A 24,311-nucleotide genomic window follows, 5' to 3' on the forward strand; every position below is an offset into this window, starting at 1 on the left:
TTCTCCCTGTTTAAAAGACACATGTGAAGAAAAGCAGCCCTTTCGATGTTGTGTTGTGAGAACAAGATGTTTGGAGCTGCTGCAGATTAGCCAACCACAAAAGGAGACGTGAATAAAACACTGTCAACAGCACAGCTGAAAGAGGGACAAGTGGGATCCCTAGGATATCAATGAACAAAAAAACAACTCTGGTTCCTAGTGTTTTAGGCACTGCTCATCTAGTATTTGCAGTCCAAAGCATTCTACCTGGTAAATTTCCCATGGCCCACAGGAAAAGACCTACTCATTTCTATAGTATTAAAAAGTCTATCGTAAACTTGCCTTAGCTAAGTATTCACCTCACTCCCAACCTCTGGTATCTCACACTTTTGGTACTAGCAAAAGTGAACTGCTCAGAAACCCTGCCATGTTCACTCAAGCATCTTGTCTTCTGCACTTGCTGCTCTTCCTCCCAAACGGGCAATCTCATTAGATGTTCCTTCTGGCAAACACACTATCTCACTCCATGTTCCTTCTGCCAAATGTCATTCCTCTGCTTCTTTCCCTGAAAAATTCTTCTCACTCTGCATGCTTACATTAAATCCTGCCTCCTTTCTTTCTAAAGCTTTCACTCCTCATCACATATGTCTGGCACACAATCAATATCACATATAATAAATCATAATTATAAGATTCCAGTGGGCATCTAGCACACAGTAAGCACTGAATAAAGCAGCAAAATAATAAAAATGACAATGATAATAATAACAAGCTCCTGTCTGTTTTTGTGTTCTGTAGCCTTAGAAAAACTGCTTAGTATCTAAAAGACATTTGACAGTTATTTGTTAAGTGGACAAGTGAAAACATAAATAAAAATGTTTTCTTTGTAAATTCTGTTGAAAAACCACAGAAATGAAATAGAAACACTTCTGTTGTGAGCACCTTAAAGATTAAAACTACATCTATTCCATCTTTGTCTCCTGCAACTTATAAAACCTAACTTACAGAAGCTCTTTGATAAATAGGTAGCTAAATTAAAGGTGTCCTCATACAGTTTGGATTGTACCATGTATTAGGTGTCCACATCCAGGTAGCATACTAGCATTTTTGTTACTGTGAAACATTTTTATATTTTTATTATAATCTGCTGACCCTTGCATTGGGAAAATTGTACATTATGACAATCTTTTGGCAAATGGTAGCAGAGCACCTTCTTCTAACAAAATTACTGTTATCATGACAATTAACCAGCCGGTGGAAGAACACATCTTGTTCCAACAAAGTAAATGCATCTCTTTCAACTTCAAAATAGGAGGAATGAAGTCAGTAACAGTGAGACCTTGTTGGCACAAGCATATGTAACATGACCTGTGCTTCACTGTTCTTTTGTGAACAAAAATTCCTTACTTTTACTTTTTAAATCTATGGTAGGACCTCCCAGAGCAGGGCTCCACAACTCCCCGGCCACAGACTGGTACCAGTCCACGGTCTGTGAGGAACCACGCCACACAGGAGTAGGTGCGCAGCAGGCAAGCCAGGGAAGCTTCATCTGTATTTACAGCCACTCCTTATGGTTCATATTACAGCCTCTACTCTGTCTCCAGTCAGATCAGTGATAGCATTAGATACTCATAGGAGCATGAACCCTGTTGTGAACTGCCCATCTGAGGGATCTAGGTTGTGTGCTTCGTATGAGAATCTAATGCCTGATGATCTGTCACTGTCTCACTTTGCCCCCAGAAGGGACCATCTAGTTGCAGAAAAATCAGCTCAGAGCTTCCACTGATTCTACATTATGGTAAGTTGTATAATTATTTTATTATATATTACAATGTAATAATAATATAAAGTAGCACAATAAGTGTAATGTGACTGAACAATCCTGAAACCATCCCCACCTTCCCCCAGCCCATGGAAAGATTGTCTTCCACAAAACCGGTCCCTGGTGCCAAAAAGATTGTGGACAACTGACCTAAAGTAATTCACTATCACAAGTCTTACCTGGGTTGCTGTTTTCAGAAGAGTATTTTGGCATCTGCTTTTCTTTGTAGTCAGAAAGTAATTCACAAATTCTATGTATAAAAATATAACAAATAAAATTACTGTTTTAAAATACTGATCTGGAAACTTACCAAATGTAAAATTCTTAGAGTATTTCAAACAATATCAGAATATCAGAACTTAACAGTATTATCCCATCCACTTATGCGTACGTTCTACAAACTTCTCATGAAGCTTCTAATTAAAGAAGAAAAAAAAGTAAGATGAAATACTCATAAATCGAGGGCACTTTGACCCAGTAAATTAACTTGCATTAGCCTGACATAATAGAAAGTGTCCCAACTCTAAATAAGTCCTAGCTCCATAATGAACAGCTATTTGCTCTTGAACAAGCTGCTTCTCTTAGGCTCAATGTCTTCTACAAAGTGAGGACTATGCTGCCTTATTTTACTAGGTTGTTATAATGATTTAACACGATAACATTTTTTTAAATGCTCAAAGAAATAGTAAAACAATGGAATAATTTGTTCCTAAACTTTATGACTGAAATTATCTTGGAATCCCAAATAAAACCCAGTGCGAATTTTGTTCATAGGTTCTAATATGCAAATGTTGTAGTTTTCAGGAAATGTTATTAAGTCCTAATTTTGCTTCTTAGTTGTCCTACTCTTTATGGCTTCTAATTCAGGGCATCTCAACTATGTCATAGTTTGTAACTAAATTTTTTCATAAATATCTCATTAAAGTAGATAATGTGATTGTCCACTATTACGGAGTTGATCAATCACGCCAAGGGCAGAAAAACCAATGGATGTCAAGACCTGACTTGGACCAATGATCCTTCTCTACAGACTCAAACTCTCAGCCAGATGTTTGTTACGATGATGCTTTATATACATGTTCATCTCCAGCTGACATGGGAGACGAAAACCCTACTTTTATTTTTTTTTAGGTTCCACGAAGAAGTTGTAAGTTGCCATTCTCTAATTTTTAACATACATACTAACAATATATTTGGTACACAACACCCCACACGTTATTTGGCTCTGGTGTCATCTCACAGACCACCTTACATGACTATTTTTATTGCGCAAATCACAATTTCAATGTTTTTGTGGCACCCATTCTGCTTTGATTCACACCATTTCCTTAAAGCTACTCAGCAAACAGTCAAATGACCTTCCAGTGACTGCGCAAAATATAGAATGCTTCAAAAATTTGTGTGGCCGCCTTATGCAAGGGCCAGCTCCTTGGGAGGCTGAGGCAGGAGAAATGCATGAACCCACGTTGCAATGAACTGAGATCGCGCCACTGCACTCCAGCCTGGGCGATACAGCGAGACTCCATCTCAAAAAAATAAAATAAAATAAAATAAAATAGTAAAGTTTGCAATTCCTCTGACTCAGTTTACCATAATGACAATTATGATTACTATTAAAGAATAAATAGTGAATAACCACAATATTGGGCTTTTCTCCCTAAATAAAAAAATTAATATAAAGAATGTAGCTTATTACAAAGAGCCAAAACGATTTTAAAAATGCAGACAATTACCAGGCAAAACTGTTAGGAAAGAACCATGTCAAACTTTTTTTTTTTTTTTTTTTTGAGATGGAGTCTTGCTCTGTCACCCAGGCTGGAGTGCAGTGGCACGATCTTGGCTCACTGCAAGCTCCGCCTCCCGGGTTCATGCCATTCTCCTGCCTCAGCCTCCATAGCAGCTGGGACTACAGGCGCATGCTGCCACACCCGGTTAATTTTTTTGTATTTTTAGTAGAGACGGGGTTTCACTGGTCTCCACCTCCTGACCTCATGATCCACCTGCCTCGGCCTCCCAAAGTGCTTTGATTACAGGTGTCAGCCACCATGCCCGACCCATGTCAAACATTTTCAAAGTGAGAATCAATCAAACAATATACACAGGATAAACTCCATTCACTTATTTAATAAGTATTTATTAGGTAGCTACATCCAATATGCTAAGCCTTTTTCTAAGCAGTGAAGATATGGTAGTGAAAAATAAAAACCCTATTCATGACAGTGAGAAAAACACACAATAACAACAGACAGATAAGGCAAAATATACGGTATGTTAGAGGAGAAAAACTAAAGCAGGAAAATGAAATGTTTATGTGTTTGATGGGGAGGGTGGTGGGAAAGTTGAGATGGCCAGAAGAGTCCCTGCTGAGAAAGGGTTTTTTTTTTCTAATACAAAAAACCTTTTATTTGTATATCAAAGACTCTAAGAAATGATGACATAAGGTTAACAGCGTTGATGTCAAGATACAAATAGGTTTGAAGTTAGAGATGATAAATCACTTTGTTTCATTGAACCTTGCCTTGATTACCTTAGAGAGCATTCCTTGTATGCTGCCAATTGCATCTTAAGCATGATGCGTCTGGGTAGTACACGGTTCTTCCTCAGAAAGTGGATGTTCCTTAATGTGTTTCTTTTTACCCTTTGTCTTCTTCTTCTTAGAAAGGCGGTTTTAAATAAAGAACTGAAGGAATGGAAAGAGTTAAGCTAGGAGGATATCTGGGGGAAAAGCATCCCAGACACAGGGAACTGCCAAGCACAGAGGTGTGTCTGGAGTCTTTAAGCACTAGGGGTAGATACGGGATGGCAAGAATTCAGTGTGGCTGAAGCAGAGCAAGGGAGATAATCAGGAGGAACTTTGACCCATACTCAGAGTGAAAAGGAGGCAATCAGAAGTGCTGGGGAAGAGGAATGACACAATTTGACTTATGTTTTAAATACATCCACTGAGTTAAGAATTGATGAAAAGGGAAGTTTTTAAAAGCCAGGACGATCAATTCCCAGTCTATGACACTCATGACTGCAGATGACAGTGGCTCAGATGTACAAGATATGACTGGCTTCTGGTCATATTCTTCAGGTAGACCTGACAAGATTTACTGAAAGATTAGATATGAGGTGTCAGAGGGACAGATGAGTCAAGAATGACAATGACATTTTTGGCAGAGCAATTGGAAGAGTTGCCCTTAACCAAAGTAGGAAAGACTACATGAGGTGTAGATTTCAGGAAGGACATCAGTAGCCCAATTTTGGATCTGACAAGTGTGTGATACCCAATAACTAACCAAATAGAGACGTCAAGTAGGCAGGCTGATATAAAAAATCTGGAATTAAGGAGAGAGATCTGAGCTGGAGACATACATTTGGAAATCACTAGCATATACACAATAGAAAAAGTCATGAGGGGCCGGGTGCAGTGGCTCACACCTGTAATCCCAACACTTTGTGAGGCCAAGGCAGACAGATCACCTGAGGTCAGGAGTTTGAGACCAGGCTGGCCAACATGGGGAAATGCTGTCTCTACTAAAAATACAAAAATTAGCCAGGCATGGTGGCACACACCTGTAATGCCAGCTACTCAGGAGGCTGAGGCAGGAGAATCACTTAAACCCAAGAGGCAGAAGTTGTAGTGAGCTGAGATCACACCACTGAACTCCAGCCTGGGGGACAGAGTCAAACTCCGTCTCAAAAAAAGAAAAAGAAAAAGTCAGGAGAAAGAAGATTGAGGACTGAGCCCTGGGAAACAACAATGTCCAAAAGGAGAAAGATGAGGAGGAGCAAGCAAAACAGACCATGATGAATGGACTAGAAATGCAGGAGGAAAAGCTTGAGGGAGTGAGGACCTGAAAGCCAAGTGAAGACGCCGTTAGGGAGGAGACGCCCTCCACTGGCTCAAATATTGCTGACAGATTAAATAAAATGAGGTGTAAGAAAAATGCATAATTTACAGAAAAAAATTGTGATAATCTTGAGGAAAAACAATGTTGGAGGACTGCTGAAATTGAAGACGCCGGTGTGAGATTAAGAGTGAATGAAAAGAAAATTTGAGTTCGTGAGTGTGGACAGTTCTTTTAAGGACATCATGCTTAGGAGTCATGACTGAGAATGTTGTAATTTTCTTCCACAGTCATGGAAAAGTAATAGACAAATAGTTTCAAGTTTTATATAACAGGTGTAGTTTTCAAATTTTATATAACAATTATATATTTTAAAGGTTATAAAAATTATACACATGTGGCATTAAAAATGCCAGACTGAGGTGTTAAATTCTTAAAACTATAGAACTAAAAGTCGCCTTGAACATTTCTAGATTACACATAAGCTGATTATCATTTTATTCATGCTTATACATAAAGACCAAGAAATACTAAAAGTTTCAAGGAGAGTATTTCTTGCTTGATAAAATCAGCCAATTCTAGGAAAACTGATACTCATCAAATATACAAAATAATTGATCACAGCAAAATACTGGGTTCTATTAACAGGAATAAAGTGGGAGAAATGCAGAAAATAATCTTATTTTATAAATGAAATTTTTAAAATTATATGAAGTCACTGTGGAAAAATATGGTGAGGTGAATACTGAAATATATCCTTTTCTCAAAGGAAGGATAATTTCACACACGCAGGGCACTTTTACAAATAGGAGTCACTTCACTTGCAGCACCTTCCTTTTAGCACAAGGGTCAGCAAATTAGCACCTTGGGCCAAATCCAGCCCACTGCCTGTTTTTGTAAGTCAAGTATTTTGGAACACAGCCATGCTTATTCACTTTACAGTCCACAGTGTCAATTAGCTGGGTGTGATGTTGCACACCTGTGGTCCCAACTAGTAGAGAGGCTGAGGTGGGAAGATCACTAGAGCTCAGAAAGTCAAGACTTCAGTGAGCCATGATCACACAACTGCACTCCAGCCTGGGAAACAGAGTGAGACCCTGTCTCAAAAATAAATTAATTTATATAGTCCACAAAGCCTAAAATATTTACTAACTGGCTCTTTGCAGAAAAAGCTGGCCAACTCCTGGTTTAGCAGATGAAAGATCCTTTGATATATTTTAATAAAAGTTTTACCCAATATACTGAAACGTTTATATTAAATACAGATCCCCATGTACAATCCCTTGGCAATATTCAGATTGAGGGTCCAATATTTCAGCACTCAGGCACTGACAATAAAAATTTAATGACTAGCAATCTTGTTGCTAACAAGGTACAGCATCAATATAGCATGTAGCTTCCATTTGCAACACAGGAAATATTACAAGAATTTTAACAAGAACTCTTAAGATGTCATCACTGATGCTTTAAATACACTTTAATTGTGAAATAATCAGTATACTCTAGATCTAACCTCACTTGTAAAAAATGGTTGCATACTACATTAATTTCTGGGTATGAAAATTGAGCTATTTCCTATTGGTAATGATTTACTTTTGATAATGATAATTTCCTATTGATAAGGATCCATCTTTTTGATATAATAATGCTGTAATAAATGTCCTTATACATAAGTATATATGTAACAAATCTACACAAATATCCTTTACATATATTATATATCCTTATTGTTATACATGTGTTTGTGAATATGCTACTAAATTAATGTTCAAAATGTATTTACCAGCAGTGTATGAAATGTCTTTTACAATGAAACCATTTCTTTTGCAGCAACACAGATGGAGCTGGAGGCCATTATCCTAAGCAAACTAATGCAGGAACAGAAGATCAAATGCCACATATTCTTACTCATTACTGGGAACTAAATAATGAGAACTCATGGACACAAAGAGGAGAATAACAGGCACCAAGGGTCTACTTGAAGGTGGAGCGTCGCGGGAGGGAGACGACCAAAAAACTAACTTTTGGTGTTTTGCTTATTATGTGGCTGATGAAATAATCTGCAGTCCAAATCTCCATGATACACTTTACCTATATAATAACCCTGCACATGTACCCCTGAAACTAAAAGAAAAGTTCACTAAAAAGAAAAGAAAATGCCTTTTCCCTCACATTTGCCAATACTGGTTATTTTTCAAATAAATTAATGCCTGGAAAAATGGTAACTCATTGTTCGCTGATTTTCATTTTTCTGATTAACGGGCAAGGCTGAATATCCTAGTAAAACTATAAAATTTGTTCATCATGAATATTAGCCCAAATTAGGGTTAGTTTGACAGCACATAGTTATCTTCTATTCAATGTTGCCATAGGCTTACCTGTGATACTCTTCACTTTCGTTGTCAGGAAATTGCTGATTTTCAGGTGTTCTGCTCTTCCTTTGAGGAATTAATCCATTATCACCATTGCCAGCAGTGACACCATTAGTCAGGTTTTCTAGTAATCCCACATTATTACTTTCATGCTTCTTCATTTCTTCTTCAACCTTGAGTGGGATATTAAGGATAGTTATCACTTTATTGAATAAAAAGAACCTTTTTAATTGATTCTATCAATTGACTCAGTTTGTCATTATTTTAGTCATTAAAAATATTTCACACTTAAATTTGATCATATATATAGAAATATTACCATATAACTTTAAGATGTAATTATCATCTCATTAATATATCACAGAAATTTTTGTAAAGTTTGCTTCATTTCTGTTTCAATGAATGAAACAGAATTTTCCAAAATTCAAAAAGGGCCCTCCTTCATTTTGTGCTTTTATTCTCAATCACTCTTCAGAATCTTATGTATGTATTTACCCCATTTGATTCATGGGAACACACAAATAAAAAGACAAAGATGCAAAATGTGTCCTCTTCCGTCTTTACCACCTAGATTTTACATTAAACAGTCAGATTTAGAGGATGACACACTGTGCGGCTTCAGGAATAGAAAGGAAGTTTGCCCTTTTCTGCGCTAAGATATTCTTCTACCCCACTGCCTTTGAGCATTCTTTTTTCATTTGGTTGCTGGGATATCAAAAACATGATGGTGCTCACTGAAAATGGGAGCCAAAGTTTGCCACAACACAAGAAGCAGAGTGAAACTGCTGACGTGCAAGCATGGAATTCCAGAAAATGAGATGCTCCCCAAATTTCACATTGAATAGCCATACAATTTTCTAGCTGGAAGATACACAGAATAAAAAGCTATCTTCTTTAGCCACATTATCTATTGATAATCAGACTAAAACCAAGAAAGATAAAATGATTGGTCCAAAGCTCCTAAAGTGGCATTACCTAGCATTTTATAGCACCATTCAGGATTGTTCCATAATAATCAAAGAATATCTCTAGGCTTTGTATCTCTTGAAAACTCAATGTACAGAATTCTTTCTGAGTTAAATATTAACTTTTTCACTGATGATTTATGCTACTTACATGATAGGATCATGTATGCCTACACTTACTACATTTTGTTAAACAACATAATGTAAAAATCTAATTCAACAGAAACATTTGAATATGAAGGTATACCTCTCTATCACCATCCTTATTTATTTCTGGTTCTTGAGACATTTTCTGCAGAGGCAAAAACAGAAGGTTAATTTGCTTGTTGTGTTTCTGTGATGTGTCCTCTTTTGGAGCGCATGTTTTAAAAAAATTTTATTCTTAACTAATCAAGTATGGACAATGAAAAATTAGAAAATAATTAAAATTAAAATTTAACTGTTAAATAAATAATAATTAAAATTAAGAATTAACTTTTTAATCTATGTTTAGCTACTGCCACATTACTGGCTTCTGACTAACATGTGAAAAATAATTCACCTTAGCCCAATGAAGAAAAAAAACGTGAACCAGCAAACTTAATTTGGTCACCATTTGTTTGGACTAAACTTAATTTGTTATGTGTTAAATCTACCAAAAATGAATCAGCAGATGATTTGTAGTGTTGCAAAACCTTCCTCACTTGAAAAGAGTTTACCTCATGAAACCCTAACTAGTGAGCCCCTACAGTGCACTGAAGTGCTTTTCTAAAAGATTCCTAACTGGATTGTAGGCACCATTTAAATTATTAGGAGCCGAAATCAACACCAAACAGAAAGAGATGCAAATTCTCAAATTTTAATTGAGATTATATACTGTCATATGATAGTGTTATGTATCCAGATTATCTGCTTAAGTCCAGTTCTAATATATTCTAATGTGTACTAATTACAGTGGATAAAGATTTTTTAACAATATGTACTAATTTTCTGCAACTGAAATAAATTAGAATGTTATTGTGTTTGTGCACTAACACCAAAGGTTCCATTCTGCAAGATATGATTCTTGTAATAGGCAGCTGTGTTGCTTTTATGACCTGGTTCCCTCCCTGAACAGAAACGCTGAGGTCAACGAGAGACCATAAGGCAGAATATATTTTTAAGCTTGGTATCAATGACTGACAATATAAAACTGCAGATTTTCAATCACTGGCCATGATTACTCCTTAACCATGAATCCAGCTCAGGGACCATCAGAGTTACATTGTTCATAATTCTATTGCTTAATAACATAATCCAATAATTGATGTACCTTCTTCATCATGTTCGGGTGTTGTAAAAATAAAAGAACAAAGTTCTGCAATTTGTTTTTGCCTCTATTCCAAAAGGAAAGATTAGCTATAAGCTAATCAAAAAGGCAGATGAGAGTATTTTAAATAAAAATATTATAAGAGTATTTTAAATTTTATAGTGGTTATGTTTTTTAAGTTAAATATCAAATGTTAAATTAGAATCCATTCTTCTGTTAATGAGATTACTGAATTTATTAAAATAAATTTTAACAATCTATTAAAAAATTCTTTAAAAAATCTATTGATTCTCAAAACCTAGTCTGAAAGGTAATTTCATTTGGACTATCTAATATTATTAAAGCAAAGAAAACAACATTAAATCAAAAATTTAAATTTAAAATTTTCCATGCCTCTGGCTGGCTATTTTCACTGCCTTTGAACCTTTGTGACTCTTCCTCTGATGTCAGCTTTAAGTCTTGTTCTGTTGAGAAATCCATATATTCAGTTAAAATGAACCACTTAGAACAGTTAAAAACTATTGCCTTTATAAAAATAGATTTAAGACAACATTTTATTTCATAAATTGAGTGTTTAGTTTTTCATGAAATAGTTATTTAGGAAATAATTCTCCCAAACTTCAACAAACCACTTGGGGAGACACCTGATGTCATTCACTCACAAATTCATCCACCCAACATAAATGAACAAAACCACCAGAAACACAACTTTAAAATACAGTAGAAGCATCTAAGGTAACACAGTATGTTGTTCTCCACTTCCTAATAGTGAAGCAGTAAATGTAAAGAAAAGGAAATTTAGTTTTAAAGAGAAACAAGTTTTCCCGCACTTAGCTAGTCTGACTCTAAGGATAGTAACAAGCAGGGCCCAGGAAAGGTCGTGGTGACCCTGCCTGAGAAGCCAGAGCCCACAGGTATGGGCTCCAGACATCCCAGAGCAAGGTTAAGAAAACAAAATCCTTTACTGTCTCCCCTTCCCCTCAGCATTCACTCAGAGCTGTTTTTACAAATGCATACTATTCGCAAGTTCCTGTTGACCTTCAATGCAGCTGCAAGGTCATAAGCTTTGCTGAGGTTGCAAAACTGTCACTATATGATTAACTGCCTTTGTTCTGCTTCTGTAAGCTTGCCTACATAAGCCAAGCCCTGTCTTTGTTCAGGGCTCAGCTTTCGGATGCAAATCTGCTGAGCTGTTGCGAACCTAAATGAAATCCTCCTGTTTCACCCACTTGGTCTCTCCTGCCTCCTGCTTTCTGCAACAATAGTACCTTACAAATGATTTCAAAAATTACTACTGACACCTTTATTAGTGTACAATGTCTTCCCAATATCTAAAATGTTTTCCTCCACTATTCTGACACATTTATTTTCATTTTTCTTTCTTTCTTTTTTTTTTTTTTTTTGAGCCAGGGTCTTGCTCTGTCACCAGGCTGGAGTGCAGTGGCGCAATCTCAGCTCACTGCAACCTCTGACACTCCCTGGTTCAAGCGATTCTCCTGTCTCAGTCTCCGGAGAAGCTGGGATTACAGGCATGTACCATCATGCCCAGCTAATTTTCGTGTTTTTAGTAGAGACGGGGTTTCACCATTGGCCATGATGGTCCTGATCTTTTGACCTTGTGATCTGCCTGCTCCAGCCTCCCAAAATGCTGGGATTAGAGGTGTGAGCCACCACACTTGTCCTTATATTTATCTTTTAAAACAATGCTATGAGAACGTCTTCCTTGATTCTGCATGTCTTTCCCCAGATAAACAGGTACCTCCTTCCTTGAGGCTGCCTTAGTACTTCACTGATTTTTCTACTGCATCTTTACCACCTGAACTGTACATTATTCCTCCACATGTCTGTCCCGTCTGCTCCAAGACTGCAGAGGACAGTCTTGAGCATCATCTTACTCACATTTTACTCAGAAATTTCTTATTGAGTCCTGCTAAATACATGTTAGGCATTAGGGTTTAAAAAGAATTAAAATAAAGCATGTCAGGGATGGCTTTTCTAGAAAACATGCCCAAGCAGAGACTTAAATATTGAGACTAGCCAGATTAAAAGGGGTAGAGGGCAGGAAAGGGTGACGGCATGCCACGCAGCAGCAAGAGCGGGAGCGAGGCCTGAAAGAGTGAAAGTATTTGCCTACAATAGGAGGATGAGTGAGTAGGGCATTGCCAGCAGCTCAGTAATGCCAGAGAAAGGGCACACAGGGAAAAGGCCTAAAGATGGAGAGTGGGGCAGAAGTCAGATTATGAAAGCCTTATGTGTAATTTTAAGATGCCTGGACATTAATGTTCAAGAGTGGTCCCTGATCCTATCTGCATTTAGATATAGATCACTTTAAATGCCAAAACCAATATTCCTACTGAACAATTATTCATTAAGACAAGGTGACAGATAGCTCATGTGGACAGAGCTGAGATGATACTATGTAGCAATTTCTCAATAATTCTCATGAACACTTGGAAAGTCAATTCTATAAGAAGTCAGAGAAATTATAATAAATCACTTAATACTTGGTTTGGGAAGGTGCTTTCTAAAGTTATAGTGCCTATGAATTTAACTAATAATTGTGAATTCAGAGCTGTGACAATAAAGCAAAGAAACCACATTGTGTTTGAGTCAGCAATCTTTAGATTTCTATCCAGTCTTCCTACCCAGTCCGTAAATTCTAACTATAATCCTGGTACTCACTCTCAAGTTTATGTTAAATACTAGCCTATACAAAAAACACTCTTTCTCTTTTTTCATTTTGTTATTTATATATTGCTTTGTTTAAAGGAAGAACACAAAAATGCCCTGCTAAAGGGATTCTGTTTGGTTGCAGGCTGCAAGCGGGGAAAAAATCAAAGTGTATTTCACAGAAAATGATTTTTTAGAAGTCAGAACTATGACATGAAGTCAAGCAGGGCACTCTAGGACTGAATTTGCTGTGCTGCCTTCATACGCTCCTTGCTCGCTCTTTTCTGGCAGCTGTGACTCACACAGGTCATGGAGAGTATCATTCCCTAAAAGGAACAACTCCGATATTCATCTTTATCCATTAAGTTCATCTGTCCCATTCTATGTCTGTGGATGCTAACTTTTGATCATTGATGGTGATACACATGGACATTTATCATCAACTTTCAGATTCTTGGATCTTTGACAAGTCTTATTAGTGAGAGTCAAACTAGTAGGATGCGAGTTATAAATGCTGGTTATCCAATTACCTATTCAAAATATCCTACATGAATTTTCCATTAAACGTGCATAGAAAAACATTAGTCATTCCTGCTGACCTGCTGCTCTTTGCTCTTCTGTATTCACCAGAAAATTTCCTCCTTCGTCCTCACATCCAGGTTAAATACTACTGTACAACCTGGAAACCTGGAAATTATCTGACATTTCTCTCTGTCCCCCAAGCCTTTCTCATTCAATTATCACTAAATCATATTGACGATACCTCTCTTCTGCCTCTGCTTTATATTCCCACTGCCACTGGGAACACAAACATTTACAAAATGGCTTTTATTTAAAAAAAAGCCTGCCAACTATTAATGTTATTTCTTACATAAAAAAAATTAAGCAAAACAAATGAAAAAAGCATAACACCAAAAAAACAAAGGCCAACATATTAAAACAAGTAGTTGAGATTCCTAACTTTATGTATTTCACTAAGGACGGGTGAAAACCTTGTAATACATTGATGCTACTCCAAGGATGTATGACAAGGAAACTATAGCTGACTACTGCGAAAACTTCCTTTGTCTCCTGGTTTCTTTACATGGTAAAGAACCTTCCATCAATCCCAGCAAACTATAGGCCACAGGCCAAATCCAATCTGCCTTATGGCTTTGTAAATAAAGTTTTATAGGAGCTCAGTCATGCCTGTTTGCTTACATATAATCATGGTGGCTTTCACACTACAACAGCAGACAACAGCAGGGTTAAGTAGATATGACAGAGACCACATAGTCTAAAATATTGCCCACCTGGCCATTTACAGAAAAAGCTTGCTAACCCGTTTTACACCATAACCAGAATGCCTTAATACTCAAATTTAATCTTGTGACTCCCCTGCTCAAATTTCTCCAATGAGCCCCTGCAGCACACATTGTTGGCTCCCTATCAATAGCCATTCCTTATTCTTTCTTGAAGAAGAAATCCAAGTCTATTGGGATATTTATTATCCCAATCCCCCTCCTCAGCCTCAGAAACAGAAATGTTTATTCTAAGCTAATCAGGTATTTACCTTCCCAGTGCCTGGTTTGGGAATGAGCATGTGGTGTGACCCAGCCAGTGAAATGTTACAGGAAGCCCTTTGCATGCTTCTAAGTTTTCTCCCTGTTTAAAAGACACATGTGAAGAAAAGCAGCCCTTGCGATGTTGTGTTGTGAGAACAAGATGTTTGGAGCTGCTGCGGATTAGCCAACCATGAAAGGAGACGTGAATAAAACACTGTCAACAGCACAGCTGAAAGAGGGAAAAGTGGGATCCTAGGATATCAATGAACAACCAAAACAACTCTGGTTCCTACTGTTTTAGCCACTGTTCATCTAGTATTTGCAGTCCAAAGCATTCTACCCAGTAAATTTCCCATGGCACACAGGATAAGACCTACTCATTTCTATAGTATTAAAAAGTCTATCATAAACTTGCCTTAGCTAAGTATTCACCTCATTCCCAACCTCTCGTATCACACACTTTTGGTACTAGCAAAAGTGAACTGCTCAGAAACCCTGCCATGTTCACTCAAGCATCTTGTCTTTTGCACTTGCTGCTCTTCCTCCCAAACAGGCAATCTCATTAGATGTTCCTTCTGGCAAACACACGACCTCGCTGCATGTTCCTTCTGCCAAACATTCTTCTTCTGCTTCTTTACCTAGAAAAATTCTTCTCTCTCTGCATGCTTACCTTAAATCATACCTACTTTTTCCCAAAACTTTCATTCCTCATCACATATGTCTGGCACATAATCAATATATAATAAATCATAATTATAAGCTTCCAGTGGGCATCTAGCACACAGTAAGCACTGAATAAAGTAGTAAAATAATGAAAATGACAATGATAACAAAAAGCTCCTGTCTGTATTTTTAATTGTTTGTGGTCTATAGCATTAGAAAAATGGTTACTATCTAAAAGACATTTGATAGTTATATGTTAAGTGGACAAGTGAAAACATAAATAGAAATGTTTTCTTTGTAAATTCTGTTGAAAAAGCACAGAAATGAAATGGAGACAGCTCTATTATGAGCACCTTAAAGATCAAAACTACATCTATTCCATCTTTGTCTCCTGCAACTTATAAAACCTAACTTACAAAAGCTCTTTGATAAATAGATGACTAAATTAAAGGTGTCCTCACACAGTTTGGACAATATAATGTATTAGGTGTCCACAACCAGGTAGCATACTAGCATTTTTGTTAGCGTGAAACGTTTTTCTGCTTTTATTATAATCTGCTGAGCCTAGAGTTGGGCAATTTGTATATTTATTATGACAATCTTTTGGCAAATGGTAGCAGAGCATCTTGTTCTAACAAAATTACTGTTATGATGACAATTAACCAGCAGGTAGAAGAACACATCTTGTTCCAACAAAGTAAATATATCTCTTTCCAACTTCAAATGAGGAGGAATGAAGTCAGTAATAGTGAGAACTTATTGGGACAAGCATATGTAACATGACTTGTGCTTCAGTGTTCTTTTGTGATCAAAAATTCCTTACTTTTACTTTTTTATCTATGGTAGGACCACGCAGAGCAGGGGTCCTCAACTCCCAGGCCACAGACTCATACCAGTCCATGGACTATTATGAACCACACCACACAGGAGGAGGTGAGCAGCAGGCAAGCCAGGGAAGCTTCATCTGTATTTACAGCCACTCCTTATGGCTCATATTACAGCCTCTACTCTGCCTCCAGTCAGATCAGTGATAGCATTAGATACTCATTGGAGCATGAACCCTGTTGTGAACTGCCCATCTGAGGGATCTAGGTTGTGTGCTTCGTATGAGAATCTAATGCCTGATGATCTGTCACTGTCTCACTTTGCCCCCAGATGAGACCATCCAGTTGCAGAAAAATAAGTTCAGAGCTTCCACGGATTCTACATTATGGTAAGTTGTATAATTATTTCATTATATATTACAATGTGATAATAATATAAAGTAGCACAATAAATGTAACATGATTGAATAATCCTGAAACCATCCCCACCCTCCCCCAGCCCATGGAAAAATTGTCTTCCACAAAACCGGTCCCTGGTGTCAAAAAGATTGGGGACAACTGACTAAAGTAATTCACTATCACAAGTCTTACCTGGATTGCTGTTTTCAGAAGAGATTTTTAGCATCTGTTTTTCTTTGTAGTCAGAAAGTAACTGGCAAATTCTATGTATAAAAATGTAATAAACCAAATTACTATTTTAATACTGATATAAAAAAACTTACCAAATGTAGAATTATTAAGAGTATTTCAAACAATATCAGAATAACAGAACTTAATAGTATTATCCCACCCACTTGTGAGTACATTCTACAAACTTCTCTTTAAGCTTCTAATTAAAGAAGAAAAAAATGTAAGGTGAAATAGTCATAAATCGAGGGCACTGTGACCCAGTAAATTAGCTAGCATTAGCATGACATAATAGAAAGTGTCCCAACTCTGCATAAGTCCTAGCTCCATAATGAACAGCTATTTGTTCTTGGACAACTTGCTTCTCTTAGGCTCAATGTCTTCTTCAACAAAGTGAGGACTTTGCTGCCTTATTTCACTAGGTTGTTATAAAGATTTAACGAGATAACATTTTTTAAATGCTCAGAGAAATAGTAAAGCAATGGAATAATCTGTTCCTAAACTTTATGACTAAAATTATCTTGGAATCCCAAATAAAACCCAATGCGTATTTTGTTCATAGGTTCTAATATGCAAATGTTGTAGTTTTCAGAAAATGTTATTAAGTCCTAATTTTGCTTCTTAGTTGTCCTACTCTTTATGGCTTATAATTCAGGGCATCTCAACTATGTCATAGTTTATAACTAAATTTATTCATAAATATCTCATTAAAGTAGATAATGTGATTGTCCACTATTACGGAGTTGATCAATCACACCAAGGGCAGAAAAACCAATGGATGTTAAGACCTGACTTGGACCAACGATCCTTCTCTACCGACTCAAACTCTCAGCCAGTAGATGTCTGTTAGGATAATGCTTTATATTGATGTTCAATTCCAGCTGACATGGGAGACCAAAAGTCTACTTTTATTTTTTTTTTAGTTTCCACGGAGAAGTAGCAAGCTGACATTCTGTAATTTTCGACATACATACTAACAATATATTTTGCACGGAACATGTTATTCAGCTCAAAGTCATCTCATAGACCATCTTACATGACTATTTTTGCAGCACAAATCACAATTTCAATATTTGGGTGGCACCCATTTTGCTTTGATTCACACTATTTCCTCAGAGCTAGTCAGCAAAAATAGTCAAATGACCTTCCAGTGACTGCACAAAATATGGAATGCTTCAAAGATCTGTCCTGCCTCCTTATGCAGAAGCCACGCTAACTTTCCCCGTATTGTTCCAATTTTAGGATATGTGCCGCCGAAGCAAGCACAAAGCCCTACTTTTACATATGATTAGTGATGCGTCATGGACAAGGCTTGGCTCTGTGAAGTCCAACTAACCTACTTGAGATTCTGAGAATTCTCTTCAATGGCTTCCTGTGAGCTAGAGTTTGAAAATATCTTAAAATCTTGAGCTAGAGATGGAAGTAGCTCCGATAATTTTCATTATCATGTAAATCAGATCACTCAAGGGGCCAACCACAGCTGGGAGCCACTGCTCAGGGCAAGGTTCATACGGGACTTTCTACTGCCCAAGGTTCTATACAGGATATAAAGGTGCCTCACAGTACAGATCTGGTAGCAAAGAGGAAACAGACACTGACCTCCTTCTGCCACATTATTTGAACCCCTCTCACCCTTTAGAACAAGCCCACCTAACATCTGCCAGAGAAAAGACCAACAACAGCCTCAAAGGATCTCTTACCATGAAGGTCTCAGCTAATTCCTGGCTAAGATGTGGGTTCCACATTAGGTTCTGAATATGCGGGGAAGGGTCAATTTGGTCACTTTGTGTGCGGATAAAGTCAGGATGCCCAGCGGCCAGAGCAGGGGGCTGGTGCTCTGGGAACAATGGCTGAGCATATAAGCATAGGTATGGGAATTAAAAAACATCAAAGTCACTGTATGAATCGCCATGAAGACTTGAGGGATCTGAATCTACTGATTCATCTTAAGGCAGCAGGACCAGTTTGAGTGGCCACAAAGCAGCAACAGAATCAACGGAAACAACAGAATGATTGCAATGTCTTTTTTCCTCCTCCTTCTGACTTGATAAAAGGGACTGTCTTCCTTGGATTTAGTGAACTCCTTCGGTTCTTGAAAAATTCAAGGAGTATGTAGGACATAGTCCCCAGAAGACAGTACAAGACTTTCCGCTAAACTGGACATTTCAAGACCCAAATAACTAATCAGAAAAATTAAAGATGTGACACTATTTTTTATCCCTGCATAGGTGTTACACTTGGATCAAATGAACAATGCTGGGATCTCTAAGGATAAAGATCTTAAAAGTCCTGAGATAAAGAATCCCGCACCCATTGGTACTTCTAACTTGTCTTGCTTTTTGTCTGATTTCTGGCTGATGCAGGGGACTAAAACTCACTGCCACGCGAAAACTACCTGAACCAAACTATGACATCTCACCTGATATGTGAGATGCAACTGTTATAATTATTTTAAACCTCAATTCAGCATTAACTAGCCTTTTAATGTAAACACTTACACATGATGATGACTAGAAACAGCATACTCTCTGGCCGTCTGTCCAGATAGATCTTGAGAAGATACATCAATATTTTGCTCAAGTAGAAGGCTGACTATACTTGCTGATCCACAACATACAGCAAGTATGAGAGCAGTTCTAAAATGACAGAGATAGGAACTGTAATAAAGTTATTTTTAAAGCTAATTTGATATACTTTACCAATGTAACATCTTGCCTGTCTGTGCAGAATCAAACATTTACATGCACTAAAAGACATAAGCAACCTGAGTGCTCAAGTGTTCATCTTTGTAAAATGCCACCAAGGTTAAAAGGAAGGGACCAAAAAAAACCCTCTTATCTCAGTGGGGTATTGCATAGCAGAAGCTACTAATTTAAAGTCCTTTGATGGGCAAGAAACAATGTTAGGGCCACTTATCTGAGGTGGACAAAGATTTAAGTGAAGATTTTGTCACAGCTTCCCTAGACTGACATGCTGTAATAGAAAATCAGCTAGGGGGTAAGAGAAATAAGAGCTCTCTGCATGCTCAAAGCAGTAATAATAATGGTAAGAATAGTAGTCATAGGAGTTTCAGTTAATGGTGCCAATAACCATGTGCTAGGCACTGAATTAAATGCCACATATATCTTTCTTACTTATGCACAGCCAACTTTGAAGGATATATTCTCCTACTTTTCATATATGACAACATATTTGGTGGTAAATAACGTCCCCAAGGTCACACACCTAGCAAGTAAGAAAGTTACTAATTAAACCCAGTCTTGTGTGAATCCAAAGCCTAGCTCTTTTCTCTTTATCACCCACGTACGGCTTGTCTTCATTAAAGGAAAAGTGTATCCACTTAAAACTATCTTCACTCCCTCTCTCCATACCAATTAAAAATAAAAACATCAAAATACACTGGAAAAACAAAAGGAAAAAAGCTGTTGAACCCACAGTATGTGGGAACAGCAATTAATTGTTATGTAGGGATAAGCTAACACTAATATTCTTCAAAGAAAGCAACTTAAAGCAAAGTCATTAAAAAGACAAAAGGATTTTCAACCCCTATTTATGTTTAATACAGCATATTTAATGGAAAAGCATGTAAGACACAGGTTAAAAACTATTAGAAAGGGTTAAGAAGTTCAATACTGAGTCATAAAGTAAACTAAAAGTTAAAGTTCAAACTTCATAAAATTAATATGAAATCCTTTAAGCTAACATAAGATCATGTAACCAAAAATGTCACATAACAAATAACATCAGTCAATATAATAAGAGAAGATGAATCCTACTAAAACTGTTCTTTATGTTGCCCAGCCCAAGTAATTGTTTTTCTACCTAACTGATTTGTGTTGATACTGATCACTACATCCCAGTAAGTATACATTAATCTTATTAATTTAATATTTATGACTTGAGTGACTGCTGTCCATCTACAACACACAGATTAAAAGAAAGAACTATACCTTCCATATCTATCCAGTGCATTTAAATTCGCTTTTTTCTTAATTAAAAATTTCACGACTTGCTGTTTTTGCTCATGTACACCAAGTAACAGTGGTGTGAGGCCATGCTGTAAAACAATATAAAGCAAAAACCTATGTAATTCAAAAAAGTACATATTCCTCAACCGAAGTGGAAACTTTATATAAGATCTTATGGACTTACACGCATAGAAGTAAATAAAATGTAGTCACTTCCTTCTCACTCTTCTGTGCTTTCCCACACGCTGCTCCTTCCCTTGGAAACACCCCTTCTCTGCCTCACCACAGTAACTCTAATCATCTCAAAAACTCACTTTAAACATTTACTGCTTCCAAGGCTCTTTGCTTCTAAACCAGCATTTGGCTTGGTGTTATTGGATGATAATATTTTTCCCATCTAAACAAAAAGCTTCTTGAGGGCAGGGGCTGTATCTTTTGTCTCTATATCCTCAACCCTAAGACAAATTGTGTATAAAGCAAGAATCTGCATGTAAAATATTTCTTTAGTTTCATGTTTTACCAAAAGTTCAACCTCCAACATGCAACAAAAATTGCTATTAAAACTCATACTGCCCATTTGAAAAAATTTTCCAACATTTATTTATTTAAAATCTATTTGTATTTAATTTTCCCAGATTGTTAACTAAACCATCAGTTCATAGGACTACTGAAACTAAATTAACAGAATTCCTATCTGTATTCTTAATAACTCCATGGTTTTTAGTGTTTAAAACTGCCATGCTGATTATGCCAAAGCTCTACATACTTAAGAGACACACTGGATAGTCCATAATACAGCGTCAATTGACAAAAAATGGTTTAGAATTTGCTACTATTCTAATTGAGAAAACTCTGCTCTTAACGACTTACTGACCTAAGTACTTGAATGACTGAACAAAGAGACACAAAATCCTGAGAGGGCCATCCTCTACTTATTGAAAGACTACTCACAGCAAATTTCTAAAGACCTTCTGAACGGCAGTGAATAACTGATGGTAGGAAGGAAAAGGTATTATTCTGTAAGCTGATACATACTACCAATAATATTCATTTTAATGTCTCAACCACAGAGATAAAAGTCAGACTAGGTCAGGAATGGTGGCTCACACCTGTAATCCTAGCATTTGGGGAGGCTGAGGTGGGTGAATCGCTTGAGCCCAGGAGTTCAAGACCAGCCTGAGAAACATGGCAAAAACCTCATCTCTACTGAAAAAAAAAAAAAAAAAACTGAGGTTGGAGGACCATCTGAGCTTGGAGAGGTCGAGGCTGCAGTGAGCTGTGATCACACCACTGCATTCCAGCCTGGGAAACAGAGTGAGACCCCATCTCAAAAAAAAAAAAAAGTCAGATTAATGTTATTGGAAAGATTTAAAGAAATCAGCACATATCCAACCCCAACTCTTCTAGAGATACCTTAAGTTTCTGAGACATAAGAATTTACATATTACATTTATGTATTGAGTGGTTCTTAAGCAGGAGTGTATCCAGATTTTGAGAAAATTGTTGTTGTTGTCGTTGTTGTTGTTGTTGTTGTTAGAGACAGGGTCTCATTATGTTGACCAGGCTAGACTCGAACTCCTGAGCTCAAGCAATCCTCCCACCTCAGCCTCCCTAGCAGCTGGGACTACAGCCATGCACCACCATGCCTGGCTTCAAGGAAACATTTTCAAATATACATATCCAGGCTTTATTAGACTTACTGTATCAAAATATTCAGAAAAAGCCTAGACTTGTTATTTAAACATTTTCCTCAGGTTACTAGGATGCACAATTCTAGCTGAAAGCTAGTGCAACAGACAATTACTTCAGTCTCATTTCTCACCCACATGACCAATTCCCTTTCTCATTTGAAGATTTGGCCAAAAAGAGTAAGGAGTAGGAGAGAGACCCATTTGCTGAAAACACCACATGATTTTCCCCGGTAAGAGAAGAACAGGGTCTAGTCAACTCAAAATCCAACTTGATCTTGTTACTTGTTTATCTTCCACCTTCCCATCCAGACACTCTAGATTTGAAAGCAGAGCTGAGACTCTCATTGGCCATTTCTACCAGAATAGGATACTAAGTCAGTTAATTACTTGATATTCCCTCTGCTCAAGGGTTTCCTCTTACATTACCACCTATTCACTGCCAATCTGGTTCCTCAGAGGCCTCCTAAAATTGATCTCTAGGTAGTTTACAACCCACTAACTCCCTCTCCCAAACTGAAAACTGTCATTCTCTAAAATTGAAGAGAACCTTGTCTCACCATGCAAAGGAAACAAATCAGTCAACAACAACAACAACACACACACACACAACCTCTTCATGGTCTTTTCCCTCCATTATCTAATTTCCAAATTGGCCTTGATATTTCTGATTGCTCTCTTTTTTGCTTTCCACTTCTGGCTCATGAGCAATCAGAAATATCTTAAGCCTTGCCAGTGAGAGGCGCATCACCTCGTATCTATTACTGTTTTTTAGGAACTTGCCAAAGGAGCAGGATCTCTATTCACTGAAACATGTTTAACTTTTCTTGGAGTTTTCATGTAAAACCTATTTCAGGGCAAATTTTGCCATTTTACATTCAATAGGGAAAAAACATCCTAGGAGGGAAAAATTGAAAAATAGTAAGTATTATCTTTTACAAATTCAGTGTTTTCAAAAAAAGTATTTACCACAAGTGCATTAAAAAAAAAAACTGTACCCTCTAATGCTTCTTTGAAAGTAACAATATTTAAAATGAAGTCTTAGATAATTAGGTCATTTCAAAATATTTCCATTCAGGTTATGCTTGAGCTTCCAAATATGGAAGACTGGCCCTTACACAGGTCAATGTTAAAATGAATGCATTTCAGTATTTTGAAGATAAAATTGGTAGATCTATACCTTGTTTTTTGATTCGATATCAGCACCATATAAGAGCAGTGCTTTGGCCATTAATTTATCTTCATTATAGATAGCGTAGTGCAGAGTGGTATTTCCATACTCATCTGGAATATTTGGATCAGTGCCATGTTCCAGCAACATTAACGCACATTCATCTTCCTGGCATTGTACGGCCTGTCAGTATTAGACCAAAAACAAATTACAAATCTTAGGAATTCAAAATAACATTCCACAGCTTTCACCAACTAGTTATATTTAAAGGAGAAAACTCATTTTTATGCCATGTATTGAAATCAAACCCACCTCATGCTGATATAGTTGGCTACTGCATACCTTTATCAGAGCTGTCCTCTTTTTGTTGTCAAGGACATTAAGTTGACATCGTCTGTCCAGCAGGAGTTTTACTACTTCTGAATTCCCATTGGCAGAGGCCAGATGTAGAGCAGTCCTATGAGAGTGAGAAGACTTTTTAGGAAATTGTAGTGCACTAGCTACAGCCATAGCAATGATTCATGTAACTGCAAACACTGAATAGCCTGCTATTACTCTGCCTTCAAAACAAACATTTAACTTTCCCATGAAAAAAGCACACTATTTATTATCTCTCATTGCTCGCTGTATTAATGAAAGGGCAGCCTATATGAATATAAAGAGCATAGCCCTTGGATGACATTCAACGTGGGCTGGAATCCTACTTGAAGCTCTGTCACTTCCTGGCTGTTGCTTAGCCTTTTGGGGTCTCAGTTTCCTCATCAATAAAATAGGAATGAAAATAGTAGCTTTCTCACAGGAAACCACTCTAATGCTTAAATGAGACTCTGCACAAAAGATATAGAATAGTTCCTAACACAAATAACAGCTCAATAATTGTTAGATATTTTAATTTTT

The 24,311-nt window shown here is 37.1% G+C and overlaps 1 protein-coding gene, 1 long non-coding RNA gene and 1 pseudogene across 6 annotated transcripts in view; 1 reads left to right on the plus strand and 2 right to left on the minus strand.

Moving 5' to 3' along the window:
- Window positions 1-24,311, minus strand: part of POTEF (POTE ankyrin domain family member F) — a 55,688-nt gene that overhangs the window by 17,923 nt on the left and 13,454 nt on the right. For 2 of the 5 annotated variants that reach the window (NM_001099771.2, XM_047445721.1), the window contains exons 4-12: window positions 23,757-23,871; window positions 23,424-23,597; window positions 20,538-20,644; window positions 19,086-19,223; window positions 16,552-16,622; window positions 10,653-10,723; window positions 9,219-9,263; window positions 8,013-8,179; window positions 1,981-2,051 (exon numbers count right to left, since the gene is read on the minus strand). In NM_001099771.2, the coding sequence (NP_001093241.1) occupies window positions 1,981-2,051; window positions 8,013-8,179; window positions 9,219-9,263; window positions 10,653-10,723; window positions 16,552-16,622; window positions 19,086-19,223; window positions 20,538-20,644; window positions 23,424-23,597; window positions 23,757-23,871 (959 nt within the window). Of the gene's footprint in view, window positions 1-1,980; window positions 2,052-8,012; window positions 8,180-9,218; window positions 9,264-10,652; window positions 10,724-16,551; window positions 16,628-19,085; window positions 19,224-20,537; window positions 20,645-23,423; window positions 23,598-23,726; window positions 23,872-24,311 lie in introns of those variants that run through there. The other 3 variants (XM_017004833.2, XM_017004834.2, XM_017004835.2) reach the window with 3 other exon arrangements.
- On the plus strand, window positions 16,130-18,900 carry POTEF-AS1 (POTEF antisense RNA 1). The gene is made up of 2 exons (XR_007087238.1): window positions 16,130-16,349; window positions 17,830-18,900. It is a non-coding gene; the product is annotated as a POTEF antisense RNA 1 (long non-coding RNA).
- RNU6-1049P (RNA, U6 small nuclear 1049, pseudogene) lies at window positions 17,739-17,845 on the minus strand (annotated as a pseudogene).

The sequence above is a fragment of the Homo sapiens genome, chromosome 2 (assembly GCF_000001405.40).
Source record: "Homo sapiens chromosome 2, GRCh38.p14 Primary Assembly".
In the NCBI taxonomy this organism is placed as follows: Eukaryota; Metazoa; Chordata; class Mammalia; order Primates; family Hominidae; genus Homo; species Homo sapiens.